Source organism: Homo sapiens, chromosome 11 (assembly GCF_000001405.40).
Source record: "Homo sapiens chromosome 11, GRCh38.p14 Primary Assembly".
NCBI lineage: Eukaryota > Metazoa > Chordata > Mammalia > Primates > Hominidae > Homo > Homo sapiens.
The window spans coordinates 3,940,318-3,955,886 of record NC_000011.10 but is presented as its reverse complement, the minus strand read 5'-3'; the positions used below and the strand labels follow the sequence as shown (position 1 = coordinate 3,955,886).

General features: G+C 41.7%; 1 protein-coding gene across 22 annotated transcripts in view, besides 1 other annotated feature; it reads right to left on the bottom strand.

Moving 5' to 3' along the window:
• The window catches only part of STIM1 (stromal interaction molecule 1), a 238,607-nt gene that overhangs the window by 137,324 nt on the left and 85,714 nt on the right, over window positions 1-15,569 (bottom strand). The window lies entirely within an intron of this gene.
• Window positions 12,827-12,956: an enhancer, noted in NCBI's record as "active region_4319". NCBI's record gives its function as "activates an Ori minimal core promoter by ATAC-STARR-seq in GM12878 lymphoblastoid cells {active_cell/tissue: GM12878}" and the evidence as "EXISTENCE:reporter gene assay evidence [ECO:0000049][PMID:35858748]".

The following is a 15,569-nucleotide window of genomic DNA, read 5'->3' as shown; positions in this document are numbered from 1 at the left end:
TGAAACTCCTGCTTTTTATGATCCTTCTTTACACACCATTTCTTCCCTCCTCAGCCTTTCCACATAGAGCAGTAGTTCTCAACCCTGGCTGCATAGCAGAATCACTTAAGGAGCTCTTAAATTGCTGATGCCCAGGCCCCACACCAGACCAATTAAATCAGTATCTCTCTGGGTGGGGCCAGGCATAAGCTGGGTTTTTTGGGGTTTTATTTTTTCTTTAATAGAGACACTTACAGTAAAGTACATAAGTAAATATATAGACAATTTAAAATATATATTTTTACATTATATACATTCAATTTTTATGTAATCTATATGTTCATGTAACTACCACTGAAATAAAAAATATAGAACATTTCCAGGAAGGCTCCACCCTTCTTGCCCCTTTCCAGTCAATACTACCATGAGTAACCATACCCCACAGTAACCACATTCTGACTTGTATCATCATAGACGAGTTTTACCTGTTTTTGACCCTTATAAAAATGAGGCATGAATATTTTTAAGGTACAGTTACATATAATAAAATGCCCTCATTTTTAATGTACTGTTAAATGTGTTGGACAAACATACATCCCTGTGTAACCACCACCCCAATCAAGATGCAGAACCTTTCCATCACCCCAGAATATTCCTACTTGGTCCTTCACTGCCAACCCTCATTCTCCCTCCCCACACAACCACTGTTCCAACTTCTATCACTATAAACTAGTTTTGCCTGTTCTAGAATTTCAAATTAAATGGAATCATCAGTATGTACTCTTTTGTGCCTAGCTTCTGTTACTCAACAAGATTTGAGATTCAACCATGTTGTCACATGAATCAGTAGTTTGTTCCATTTTGCTGCTGAGTAGTATTCCATTGAATGGCTATACCACCACTTGTTTATCCACTCATCAGTTTTTGGCTATTTTACAAATAAAGCTATTATGAGTATTCATGTACAAGTCTTTGTATGAACATATGTTTTCATTTTTCTTGAGCAAATATCTAGGGTGGAACTGATGCATTTACAAAATAAAAGTATGTTTAACATTTCAAGTAACTGCCAAACTGTTTTCTAAAGTAGGCATATCACTTTATACTCCCACCAGTCATGCATGATATGTCCAGGTGCTCCATATACTCCCTTTTACGTGGTGACGCTAGACTGCAGCCCAGGTCAAGAACCACTCAGAATTCTTTCGGTATGGAAGGCTCTTACTTCTTTCTTAACCTGCAAATTCTGACTCATGCTGCTGATCTCCACTTAAATGTCTTTTCTTCAAAGATCCTGACTCATTCTCCCTCCCAAACTGGTTTAGGCCCACATTATACATTCTCAAAACAACCTATATTTTTCATTTACAGCACTTTTCACAATAGTAATTATTTCTGTGATAATTTGCTCAATGTCTATCTTCTCCACTAAATTGAAAGCTCCATAGTGGCAGGAACCATGGCTGTCTTGCTCATGGCTGAATCCTGGCTGCTAGCACCTAGCTTAGTCCCTAGGACAACGGTTAGACTTCAATGAACATTTGTTGAACGAACAAACAAATGCACAGAAAAACTTGTTGAATGAACAAATTCAAAAAGAGATGAATAAACACCATCCTTTGCTCACAAAAAGTACTAGGAGAATGAGCACAGTATATGAATTACAAAGTAAAATATGGCAAGGGGCAAGAGACCACACAAGCAGGAGTTACCACTGAAAAACAGGTAGAAGAGAATGGGAGAAGAAGGAAGGGCAACCCAAACAAAGAAAGCCCAAAGGCAAGGAGCACAGCATCTCACACAACTTGACTTATTAAAAGATCAGAAAGTCAGGCCAGGCATGGTGGCTTATGCCTGTAATCCCAGCACTTTGGGAGGCTAAGGATCACCTGAGCCTGGGAGTTCAAGACCAGCCTGGGCAATATAGGGAAACTCCATCTCTGTAAAAAATACAAAAATTAGCTGGGAGTAGTGGCACACACCTATGGTGCCAGCTATTAGGGAGGCTGGGATGAGAGGATTTCTTGGGCCTGGGAGGTCAAGACTGCAGTGAGCTGTGAGCATGTCACTGTACTCCAGCCTCAGCAACAGAGCAAGACCCTGTCTCAAAAAAAAAAAAAAAAGAAAGAAGAAGATCAAGAAGTCAATACCGATCTTGCAAAAACTCCTGGCATAGAATGGGAATAATGGATGTTGAGATCACATATTATACTCAGACTCTAAATGGCAGAATTGAAGGGGATTTGGAGGGCCTCAAAGGCCGTTGCTCTTTTAACACCTGGAGAAGAAAATTGAGGCCATAAAATGGGTTGTTTTGCCCTAGGTTGGCCAGCAAAGAAGTGGCAGAACCAGATTAGAAACCACACTAACTTCCTATACCACGTCCTATGGCAAGGCTATAGTTGGGTGATCTGGATCAGCCTATGCAACCGGGCTCCCTGGCATTACTAACTCTTACTTTCCAAGGCAACAAAGCAAGGGCTGTGGGGTGAGGAAGCAGGGCTTCCATCAGGGGTTTTTTGTCTATTAATGACAAATACAAGAAACTCCATCTGGGCTTGAACCATTCCCCAAACAGGGTAAAATAGAACATCCTTGCTTTGCCTTAAATTCTTTAGTGTTCAACCTCCTGAAACAAACTAGCCAAAAACCTCTTTCTCATTAGAACTTAAATATAAAGTTTAAGAATCACTAGAGAAGAACTGAGTCTCTGGTACACCATGCTGGGAGGAGCAAAAAGGGAAAAAGAATATGCTTCTGCTAAACCTAATCATCTTCTAGAAGAGAAGTCTCTGGCTATCTCTCCTCCAGGGTGCACTCAGCTACTCCTTCTGTGTCCCATTTCTACCTTCCTCCTCCTCTAAGCATTCTTTTCTTCAAATTTTGATCTCACAAGAAGCCTCCTTCCAGAAGAAAATGGCTAATCCCTACAGCTAGTCACCACCAAGCAGGCCTTGACCTCAATAACATGGGCTTCTGATGCAGGAGCTGTCCAACTGTTATGATACCCTTTGCCCACTCCTTGGTTTCCCATAGGGCTTCAGACTCCTGGTAGACAGCCTATTTGCCTGCCCTTTTGTTTCTATGACCTTCCTGACTGAATTGAAAGTGTCTGACTGACTCCCAGATCAGTGTTCACATGCTGGAATACCCATTTCAACACTTATTTAACACTTTCAAGCAGCTTTTGCTGATGACTGAACTAGCTGAACTAGGCAAAGGCACTGGGAAATCAAACAATAACACACATTTCTCTGGCCTCCAGGATCCCCTTTTTCCCCAATCCCTAATTATTGAAATATGTATTGAATTGCAGAGGTAGCAAATATGGGTCTTTGAATTCCAACTTTCCTATACATTGACTACTCCTAAGGATTAATGTTCTTACCTGAAAAAATCAGTCAAGTCTTTTGAAAAATAGTAAAGCTCTATACAAATGTTAGTTGTTCATCCATCAGTTTTCTACTCTCTGCTTAACCTGGAAGACTTTATTTTATTTATTTATTTATTTATGAGACAGGGTCTCACTCTGTCACCCAGGCTGGACTGCAGTGGCAAGATCATGGCTCACTGCAGCTTCCACCTCCCAGGCTCAGCCTCCCAAATAGCTGAGACCACAGGCATGCACCACTGTGCTCGGCTAATTTTTGTATTTTTTGTAGAGATGAGGTTTCACTATGTTGCCCAGTCTGGTCTTGAACCCCTGGGCTCAAGCAATCCACCACTTCGGCCTCCCAAAGTGCTGGGATTACAGGCATGAGCCACTGAGCCTGGCCCTGAAGTCTTACCTTCCCAACAATAGCAAAGAGAGTCTTTGATTCTTCTGGTATTCCCCTGTGTCTAGCCCAGTGCTGGGCAGCACAATATCTGGTCTAGAGACAACTGAAAGGTGCATACTGATTTTGAAGATTTGCTATCCCAGGTTTGGAGTCCCACATACCACAGGTCTTTATATACTAAAGCTTCCAAGAAGAAAGACGGCCCCAGAAGAATTAAACCAACACACACTTGTTCAAAAGCTACCCCAAATTATCTGACTGGCGCCTGACCCAAACGTTCTTGTGCCCTAGCCAGCACTCATCAGGGTCTGAGATAGCCAAAAAAATAATTACAGACACCTCAAATGGCTTTCTGCTGGGAAAAGTTTGCTGAAAGTGTTGGAGTGGGCACCCAAGGACTTACCCAGATAAAGGACAACACCTAGGGGGCATGTCCAACCTATCAGTGGACCCTCTAAGATTATACCCTTCTGGGTTCAATCAGTAAGGCTGGTTCCCAACAATCAGTCCCAATCACAGCGGCTCTAAGTGCACAATGATAAACGCCTTGAAAATATAAACACTGAGGAACCAGGCACACCACTGCATGGGGTAAAAACAATGTGGATTCCAGTTTCCATAGTAACAAGAGGACAGACTGAAACCTCCCAGGCCTCTTGCTGGCTGGTTAAAAGAGAACACATTCCTGGGCTCCAAAAGAGACATGAACTAAGAGAGAGCTTCTCATTATCTTTCTGCCCCATATAACCCTCCACTCAGACAATAAAAGAAAGATAACTGGCCCCTCTTTGTCTTTTCTTGGGAGAAGATAACCAACAGCATCTACTAAACAATGTTGCAGTCAAGATGATCATTCTAGGAACCAGGTTCTGACTCTCTTCCTGCAGCTGAAGAGCAGCCCTTCCTTACAGGATGCCTTTCTCAGCTGGGGTAGCAGAGTGTCCTCCCTGAAAGGAGACTATCCAGAATGAAGTCTACCTGAGCCTCCTGGCAGCCCAGGCTCCATAGCCCTGCTCCCTCCTCTGCACAAGCCTGATCTGATTTCTGAGGGCGATACCTCTATGCCAAAGCAGTTCAGGCTTCTACATCTCTTGCCTGGGTTACAACAGTTTCCTCACTATTCGCCCTGTCTCTGTTCTAGTTTCTTTCAAACTCATCCTCTACCAAGCAGTGAGTACAATTTTTCTAAAATTCAAATCTGGGCCAGGCACAGTGGCTCATGCCTGTAATCCCAATACTTTGAGAGACTGAGGCGGAGGATCACTTGAGCTAGGAGTTCAAGATCAGCCTGGGCAACAAAGCAAGATCCTGTCTCTACAAAATAAAAATTTAAAAATTAGCTGGGTATGGTGTCATGCACTTGTAGTCCCAGCTGCTCAGGAGGCTGAGGCAGGAAGATCCCTTGAGCCCAGCAGTTTGAAGTTGCAGTAAACTATGATCGTACTACTGCACTCCAGCCCAGGTGACAGAGCGAGACCTTCTCTCAAAAAAATAAAATAAAATTCAAATCTGACTAGATAGCCCTCTGAATAAAATCCTTCACAGGCCCACACAAAAACCTGTACATAAATGCTCACAGAAGCTTTATTTGTAATACCCAAAACTGGAAGCAGCCCATATATTCTTCAACAAGTGAATGGTTAAACTCCAGTACTTATGTACAATGGTACATGACTCAGCAATAAAAAGGAATGCCCAGCCAGGCACAGTGGCTCATGCCTATAATCCCAGCACTTTGGGAGGCCGAGGCGGGCAGATCTTGAGGTCAGGAGTTCAAGACCAGCCTGACCAACATGGTGAAACCCCGTCTCTGCTAAAAATACAAAAATTAGCCAGGCGTGGTGGTGCATGTCTGTAATCCCAGCTACTCAGGAGGCTGAGGCAGGAGAATCGCTTGAACCCAGGAGGTGGAGGTTGCAGTGAGCCCAGATCGCACCACTCCACTCCAGCCTGGGCAACAGAGCAAGACTCTGTCTCAAAAAAAAAAAAAAAAATGAATGACCTATTGATACACACAACTTGGATGAGTTTCCAAGGAACTGAACTGAGAAAAGAAAAAAAAGAAAGAAGCCAATTCCAAAAGGTTATATACTCTGTGATTCCATTTATGTAACATTTTTGAAAGGATAAAATTCTAGAAATGGAAGGCAGAGAGAGATTAGGAATGAGGAATGGGGTTGAAAGGAGACGGGAGTGGTTATAAAAGAATAGGAAGGATCTTTGTGGTGTTGGAATAGAACTTTATACACATAGATGAGTACAAGTAAAACTGGGAAATCTGAACAAGATTGGTGGATTTTATCAATGTCAATGTCAATATCCTGGCCATGATATACTACAGCTTGTCCAAAATGTTACCATGGAGGAAACTGCAAAGTTTTCCAGTGATCTCTCCATATTATTTCTTAGGACTCCATGTAAATCTATAATCATCTCAATAAAAATTTTAATTTAAAAAATCCTTCACAGGGTTCCCAAACTCCCTTAACAGTGATGCCTAACTTTTTTCAGTGAGGAATTCCAAAGAGCTCCATGTAATGATAGGTGTGCTTTTACTAACCACTGGTTGAAAAATGACTGAGGAAATAATATGGATTCATGAGACACCCCTCAAGGACCCCTTTCAGGGATTCAAATCCCCAAGACTGGGAATACTTGGCCTTTGCAATGAATATAATTTAGAAAAGCATGCAAGACTTTTTCAAGAGGCTGTCTCTATAGCATTTTCTAGCCTTATCTCCTGCCACTCACCAGCTCACATATACCCTACACTCCCACCATACTAAATTACTTTCAGTTCCATAAATATGCAAGGCTCACTTTGTGGCTTTGTACATGATGTTCCCTCTGCCCGCAATATCCTTGCCCCATTCTGCACCTGACTAATTCATACTCAGGTTTCAAGATTCTACTCAGGCTTTTTCTAATTTCTCTAGGAGCCTTCTCTATACTGACCCCCGGGGTTTGATTAGGAGTCCCTCTTCTGTGCTCTTATAGTCCCTGTGCTTCTCTGTATCACAATTTGGACCAATTACTTAAATTCTCTATGCCTACATTTCTATCTGTAAAATAAGGAGAAAACAGTATCCACCTCATAGGGTTGTGAGAATTAAATGAGTTAATACATATAAAGTACTTCAAATAGAGCATGGCACATAGTAAGTGTTCAATTATTACCATGTTATTTTTGTTGTAATTGTCTAACTAGTACACTGAAATATCTAAGCAGAAATTGGTATTTGCATTCGTGTCTAGCCTGGCATATAGTAGATGCTTGGTAAATATTTGAGAAGAGAATTAAGGGATCTAAGGTTGGGGCAGGAAGGTACAATCTAAATTAATGGTAGAACTGGAGATTTAGAGGATTGGGAATAACTGCTAAGAGCAGGAGGTGAGTACAGGTTGGAACTAGGAATAAGATAGACGTATTTAGAAGATAAGTGTAAAAAGAACCAGACTATTATAGATTGAGAACTTGGAATGAATAAGCACAACTGACACCTGCTTATACATGTCTTCTAAACTGGCTCACGTAGGGCTCCTTTGATTTGTCATCATAATTTGTTATTGTAGAGCTAGAAAAGTTGTCTAACCTTTTGGAGGCACTATTTTTTCATCTGTAAAATACGGCATAATAATGTATTTTTCTAAATAAGTAAGATTATGCAAGCAAACTACATAGCCTACAGATTCAAGTAAAACTAGCTTGTTCTTAATAAATATTAGGTTCTCCTCATCCCTTAATTTTTTTCTCTTATATATTAAAAAAAGAAAAGATAAGCCCCTTGGATAATAACCACCTAGAAGAAGAGAAAGGGAGATATATGGGAAACTGACCTATACAAAACAAAGCACCAGAGCTTGAGAAAGGGTAGATAGGTACCTAGAATTATTCTCTCTCTAGCTTTTCATGTCTAATACTTTCTGAACCTTCAAGGCCCAGGGAAGGCCCTGGGATGCCTTCTTTAACTACTCCGCGCCCTATAAGTCTCCCATTTTGAGGTCAGAGTATTGAGCCTACACTGGCCAACGGACCACCTCATAAGAGCTCTTCTAAACCTAACTGTATTCTGTTCTCATGTGGCCTGTTAGCTCCTCTAGAATGGAACTTGAGTGTCTTTTTGCTTTCTCCACAAGAACAGAATTAAGAATACTGTTAACTGTCTAAGGGAGAAAGGGAGGATGAACATGTCAGGAACTATGTTGATCACTTCTACATACGTTGTCTCTTTGAAACTTTGTAAAGTCAGTACTTTTATTATCCTCAATAAAAAATGAGAAAACTGAAGCCCAGATACAATAAGTGACTTCCCCAAGGTCACATATATGGTGAAAGTAGGTCTGGAAGTAGGATACAGTCTGTCTCCAGAGCCTTGATAAGAATAAATGCATACAGGTGCCTACCTGGTTACCAACCACACAGCTGATTTACTGGGCAATTCGGTGACACCAGCTTCTCACCTCAACTCCTCTCTGCTGCCAACTGAGCCTGGGAGAGCTGTTTGGCTTCCTTTCTTCCTCTTATTTTGTCCAATATAGGAAATGCAAAGGTAGCCTGCTGTGTCTCTTGTAGGATGGAGTATGTGGAAAAAACAGGTGAAACAGAGGGCCCCCGTCAGCAGTAATAAACAAGAGACATATATTCAACATCAGAGCCAGAAAGCCTCCCTCGTTAAAACTTTCTGGCTCCAGAGAGGAGGAAATTGAACCCTGAGAAGGGAGGTCACTTCCATAAGGTCATACAGCTGAGCAGAGACTGAAACTCTGTCTTCTGACACTCAAATTGGTGCTCACTTTGGTCTACCCTGTACCAGGCTATGAAGAGAAAACTACAATATGACCTGTCAGGCCTGTCACTAAGTGCAAAACCCAAAAGCTGTAAACACAGGAAATGGGCTGGGATGAGGTTCAGAGGAGCAGCAACATTTGCCAAGTTAGAAGTGTTCAAGGGTTTCCTGTCCACAGCTGTTAACTGTCACAGAAATGTTCCAGAAAGTAATACAAGGCAGAAAGAAAAAAAAAAAAAAACACTAAGAATGAGGAGAAAATATTCAGGTTTATATATGCCTTTGTAAATTATTCAAGCCAACATACTTAGTTTTACAGATGAGGAAACTAAGACCCCCCCAAAAGAGAAGTGATTTGTCCAAACTCAAATACAGAACTTAAGGACTCTTACAAAGCACTGAGTTGGTTCAAATCATTCATTTTAATGATGACAGCCTGAGACACAGAGAGGGAAAGGGCTATGCCCAATGTCACACAGTCACACAGTGGCAGAGCCAGCACTGGAACTCAAGGCTTCTAACCTCATGGGCCACTGTGCTTCCCAACTGGTTAGAGTGAGCCAAATAAAGTTATTTACCTGGAGCGATGTGGGTAGTGTTTTGGCCCTGGAAAAAGTATAGCAGGTCAGGAAACATAATATAAGCAGGATATGGTAATGGCTAACAATGACAGAACCAAACAGGGCCAGCCTAAAGGAGCCAAAATTAAAATGCTTCTGATTGCTTAAGACACTTGGAAAACTAAGAGGCAGAAAAATATTCTGGTTATTTTTAGGAACCTAGAATCCAACGAAGAACAAGCAGGGCAGGCAGATAGAAAAGGCCAGAAATGCTAAGAATAATCTCAAAGTATGCTACTTTCTTTGTCCTAGGCCAAATATCCAGAAAACATCACCTCAGAAGCATCTCTGGGTTTAGCTCACTATAGGGGTACTATAGGAACCAGCAGATTCTTGGGTTCCACATGCACACAGCCAACAGGTATGGAGACGAATGACATTTACACACTTCCTGGCATTTCATATTAATTTAATTCTCACATCAGGCCTACAGGACAAATATTTTGATTCCCATTTAACAGATATGAAAACTGGGGTGTAGAGAGGGCAAGTCTCTTGCTCATGATCATAAAATTAGTATTGTATAAGGAAAATTCAGCATTCAAATGTATACTATTATTCAAGAAATTCCTATCCAGCGCCTGCTGTTCCAACCCCATTGATATAGTTGGGATATTCATCCCTACCCAAATTTCATGTTGAATTGTACTCACCTATGCCGGAGGTGGAGCCTGGTGGGAGGTGTGTGGGTCATGGGGGCGGATCCCTCCTGGCTTGATGCTGTCTTCATGATAGTTCTCACAAGATCTGGTTTAGAGTGTATGGCATCTCTCCCCACCCACTCTCTATCTTGCTCTTGCTTTTACCATGTTAAGTGTCTGCTCCATCTTTGCCTTTCACCATGACTGTAAGCTTTCTGAGGCTTCCCTAGAAGCTAAGCAGTTGCCAGCACCATGCTTCCTGTAAAGCCTGCAGAACTGTGAGCCAATTAAACCTCTTTTCTTTATAAATTACCCAGCCTCAGGTATTTCTTTATAACAATGCAAGAATGGCTAATACACCTGTGCTAAGAACTATAGATATAATAATAAAATAGACATGGTCCCTGGCCTAACAGAGTTTCAATCAGGGAAGAAGTTAAGCAATAATGATTATTATAATAATACACAACATTATTTTTTTTGAGACAGAGTCTTACTGTGTCGCCCAGGCTGGAGTGCAGTGGTGCAATCTCGGCTCACTGCAACCTCCGCCTCCCGGGTTCAAGTGATTCTCCTACCTCAGCCTCCCGAGTAGCTGGAATTACAGGTGTGCACCACCATGTCCAGCTAATTTTCTTTTCTTTTTTTTTTTATTTTTTTATTTTTAGTAAAGATTGTGTTTCACCATGTTGGCCAGGCTGATCTCAAACTCTTGACCGCAGGTGATCCACCCGCCTCAGCCTCCCAAAGTGCTGGGATTACAGGCGTGAGCCACCATGCCCAGCCTACACAACATTTTTGAATGCTTACCATATGCCAGGCACTAGTCTCCACTCTCCATATATACTGCCTTATTTAAATTCTCACAATAACTGCCAGTGAGGCAGTTGCCATTATTCTCTTCATTTTATAGATAGGAAACTAAGGCACAGAGAGATAAGTAACTTGCTCAAGAGCACATAGCCAGTAAGTTGTAAAAGTAAGGATTCAAACCCAGGCAGCTTGACTCCAAAGCCTATACTCCTAATAGCTACCTCCAAACAAACAATGGTAAGACAGCCTGGTGAGTACTGTGATAGAGGGAAGTCAGAGAATATGGAGGGGCCTTGCTGGGACAACTGGGTCACCCGTATTATATAATGAGGAGTCACTAGATAAAGACAGGAAAGAACAGAAAGATGAAATTGAGCATTGAGGACTAGGCTTTAGTAGCTGATTCCTCTAGAGATAGGAAAACCCTAGCAAGAAATGATGGGATGATGACCAGAGTCACTACACTCCTGCTCTGATTAGGGTACCATCACCTCTACTGTGCAGAGCTCTGTCATCCAACAGCTCACCGATGCTCACTACAATTCAAGGAGTCAGGCAGAGCAGAGATTCCTGATCCCACTTGACAAATGAGGCCCACATGGCGGCAGTGATTTGTCCTAGGTGGCACAGTGAGTTGGTGACAGAAGAAAGTCTCTTACTTAAATTGTGCTCTTTCTACTAGACTACTCTGTCACAAAAGGAAAATCCAAAACATAGTATTGATGAAGAGTTAAAAACTGTAGATTTCTCTGACCATTCTCTTTTCAACTTACCATCACTCCCATCCCACTTCCCCCTCCACTCCCACTACACAGGCACAGAGAGTTCTGGCTGCTTAAATATACTCATGCTCCCTCCCTTGGTGCCTCCAGAGGCCAGTGATTCAATCAGCGAGTTAATCAGGCACAAAACCTTGGCTGCCATGAGAAGCCATGTCCTCAGGGAAACATTCCCCTCCATCAGCTCATCCACAGCATACAAATCTTTAAATGGCAATTAAAGAATTGAGAAGAATGCTGAAAAGCCAGGGGAAACACCCTGTAAAAGGAAAACATTTCACATTATCTCACGTCTGCATAGAAGACATAGAATTTGGCCCCAGCCTAAGGCCCCTTCCTCTAAACAACTCAGTTGGGGTCTTAAGTTCCTAAAAAAGAGAGAAAATGTGCTAAAAATCCATCATTAACTCATTAACTAATTCATCTGTTCATTCACTATTGATGTCTATTCTGTACATAACCTATGTTAGGTGGTAGAGCCACACAACTTAAAAAAAAAATCTCTGCCTTCAAGAAGTTTACTTTCTAGCTTGTACTTCAATATAGATGAAGATATCCTTTGACTAATACATTTGCTTCTGTCACTTATGTGAATCTGTGTATATACGTGATAATTTGTTTTCTTTAAGTCATAGTGATATGACTGTGTAAGATATGCAAAGGAAAAATGAAAGGAAAGTTGTCTTTGTTCCTTAGTATGATTTTCCATCTATTCTAGGATAATTTTTTGTTTGGTTGGTTTTTGTGTTTTGCAGAGACAGAGTCTCTCCTGTTGCCCAGGCTAGCCTCAAACTCCTGGGCTCAAGTGATCCTCCCACCTCGGCCTCCCAACATGCTGGGGTTACAGGCGTGAGCCACTGCACCCGACCTAGAAGATGTTTTTTTTAACTGTGAACTGGACTGTGGCTCTCTTGGAAAAACCTATATTGAGCAATAATCTTTTTTTATTAAAGCACAATAGCTTTACCAGAAGAAAAAACAAAAAAAGTTTACCAGCTTACAGTCTTTATTGTCTGGTGAAGAAGACAGGTAATTAAGAGGCATTGCATGGAGGTAAGAATAGGTATGGTGTGTCATCAAGTTACCAGCCAAACCAGGACTTCAACCCAGTTTCTCTATTCCAGTTAACGATGCAGAAAAGCACTCCTTAAATGGCCATGTAATATTTAGATAGCATGTGGCAATCTTATCATGTGAGTAGTCCCCATTTTCTACTAGGAAATATCTACAATCACAGGATATACCAGGTTCTGTGGAAGCAAGTTGACTAATTCTTTCCTAGGAGTCAAGGAAAGGCTTCCCAAAGAAGATGCCCTCAGAGCTTGGCCTTAGGAAATACAAAACATCTAGATGGCAGAAGGCTGAGCATGCACAGACACAGCTGGCAAGCTCTCTAAGAGCAGACTAGAGGGTCCCAGGCTCCTAGCAGAAGAGTTGCCTTGGGGTAAAAGAAATGATATAACCCTGGTTGCTTTAACAATGATAACATCCTTCTGGGGTGTCTGTTCCAGGCAAAGTCCATCTAACTCTGTAAAGAACCTAACTACTCTGCACTCAAAAAGCTCTAAGCATTAGCTTGAGACTCTACAAGAGGTTTCTCTACCTTGCTCTCAAACACTTACTTCCTGCCTTGCACACTAGCCCCCAAAGCAACCAGGAACACATTACCTCATAAAGAGGTCTGCTGGTACCACAAATGGCCTTAAGACATGAGACTTAAAGCCAGCCAAAATGAGAAATGATCCAGTTCAAATGCAAACTTTGGAGGTTTTAACCTTCAGCTGGCCAAAGATAAAGATAAAAGTCCTTTAATGCTGTATAAACAGAGAGCAAAGCAAACAACCCATACGAAACCACAGTTCATTGAGAGGAAATCCAAAATCCAGTAGTCCCTGCCACCTACCGGTCCATCACCAAACCCATGTTCCAGCTAGGCCCACTCTAGGCCCACAGCACAGGCAGCACTACAAAGAAGGATAGGGTAGGTTCTCAGGAACTCTCCTGAGGCACATCCAAATGGAAGAGGGCAACTGTCTATGGTTCCTTCCCACCCTCAACACTACCCCAAATGCCAGATCAGCCTGGCCCTTATGGGACTTACAAGTTTACAAGGAAGCTGAAAATGTGTCATCCAGGCACCTCAGACCACTCTGCCCAGGAAATGGAGGCTATGCATAGTGAGACTGCCTGCTATAAGTGGTCTAGGTATTATATGGCCATTAGTGCTTCTCTGCACAGCTCATTGGAGTAGACAGACCAGGTTGAAGTCCTGGTTTGGCTACTAACTCGATCACACACCATATCCATTCTTACCTCCATGCAGTGCTCACCAATGATCAAATTCTACCCTACCTTCAAACCCAATCCAAGTACTGCCTCCTCTAATGAGATCTTCCTGCCTTTTACAGTCATCAGTGATCACTCTATTTTTATTTGAACATTTTTTAATTGAGATGTAATTAAAGCCTATTTTTGATCATTTTATATACTCAAAAATATGTACAGACAGGACTTGGTGGCTCCTGACTATAATCCCAGAACTTTCGGAGGCAGAGGCAGGAGGGCTGCTTGACTCCAGGAGTTCAAGACCAGTCTGTACAACAACATAAGACCCTCTCTCTACAAAAATAAAAAATTAGCTGGGTGTGATGGTTCATACCTGTAGTCCCAGGTACTCAGGAGGCTGAGGTGGGAGGATTGCTTTAGCCCAGGAGGTCAAGACTGCAGTGAGCCATGATCATACCATTGCACTCTAGCCTGGGCAACACAGTGACACTGAGACACACACACACTCTCTCTCTCTCTCTCTCTCTCTATATATATATATATATATATGTATACACACACACTATCTCTCTATATATATATATGTATACACACACACACACACACACACACACACATATATATGCTTCTTCTATGGCAATACTATTTGCTACAACACTGCTGCATTCCTTTCACCAGAACTCACGTTATTTGACAAGGCTGCCCAAGTCCTACACATCTACTGCTTAACCCTACCAAGAATTACTTTCAAATATAACAAATGTTTTGTACTGTTAGGTGATTTAACATGGACACACCCTATCTCAAGAGCCCATTGCCAACTCTCTTTCCTCTAATTCATCCTGCACCTCCCAGTCAGATCTGTTTTGTTTAATATCACTTTATGCAGGCCTCACCTTGCTTACCACTTTCATGGATCTTCATTACCTACAGCAGAAGTCTTCGAACTGTAGATATCAATCCCTCAGTCAGTGGACCATTTTTGTTCTGTTTAATTATCAGAGTTCATTAGTAGAGGCATGTACTCTTTTGTAAAAGTTTTGTTTCATTTAAATAATAACAATAAAAATTATAGCACCTCACATGTGTCAGGTACTATTCTAAGCACTTTATATTTGTTACCTCATTCATCCTCACAACAACCCTATGAGGTATCATTATCAACATCTCCATTTCTCAGCTCAAGAAACTGAGGCACAGAGAAGTAAACTAAGTGGTGGCATATAGAGACAGGCAGTCTGGCTCTAGAGTCCAAGCTCTTAGCTACTACACTACACTGAAGAGTACAAGAAAGGCCTTTCTATAAATATAAATATATGCATATGGCATAAAAACACTTCCTATAAAAACATCTCTTTTAAATAAAGTCCAAACTTCTCTGTTTCTTTAATTTTACTCCACTGCTTCTTCCATGTATCCTCCACTCCCCCTAGATTGACATTCTCTGTGGGACCTGTTCCTTCATTCATGGCTTGCCATCCCCCCTTTTCTCTTTCTCCAAATGCTAACCAACCTTTCCAGTTTAGGTCCTCCAGGATGGCTCCTTGAAAGGGTCGTAGGGGAGGCAGTCAGTGCATGGGGGTATGCTGCTTCCCAATAGTTCGATGCCTACCATGATGCATCAGCCACTATGTTGGTGCTTTACACACATCACCTCATTATTCCTCACAACCCTGTGAGTCTGCTGTTATTATCCCCATTTTACAGAAAAGGAAAAAGTAGTTCAGAGAATTATGTTAACTTGCCAATGGCCTACAGTTCTAAAGCATACACTCTTTCTGCTATACCTTCTCAGCCCCTTATGATCTATTCCCCACATTTAAATATTTACATGTATACAATTTGATTTTGCATTTTATTTAAACTGCCTCAAACTATTTTCCCA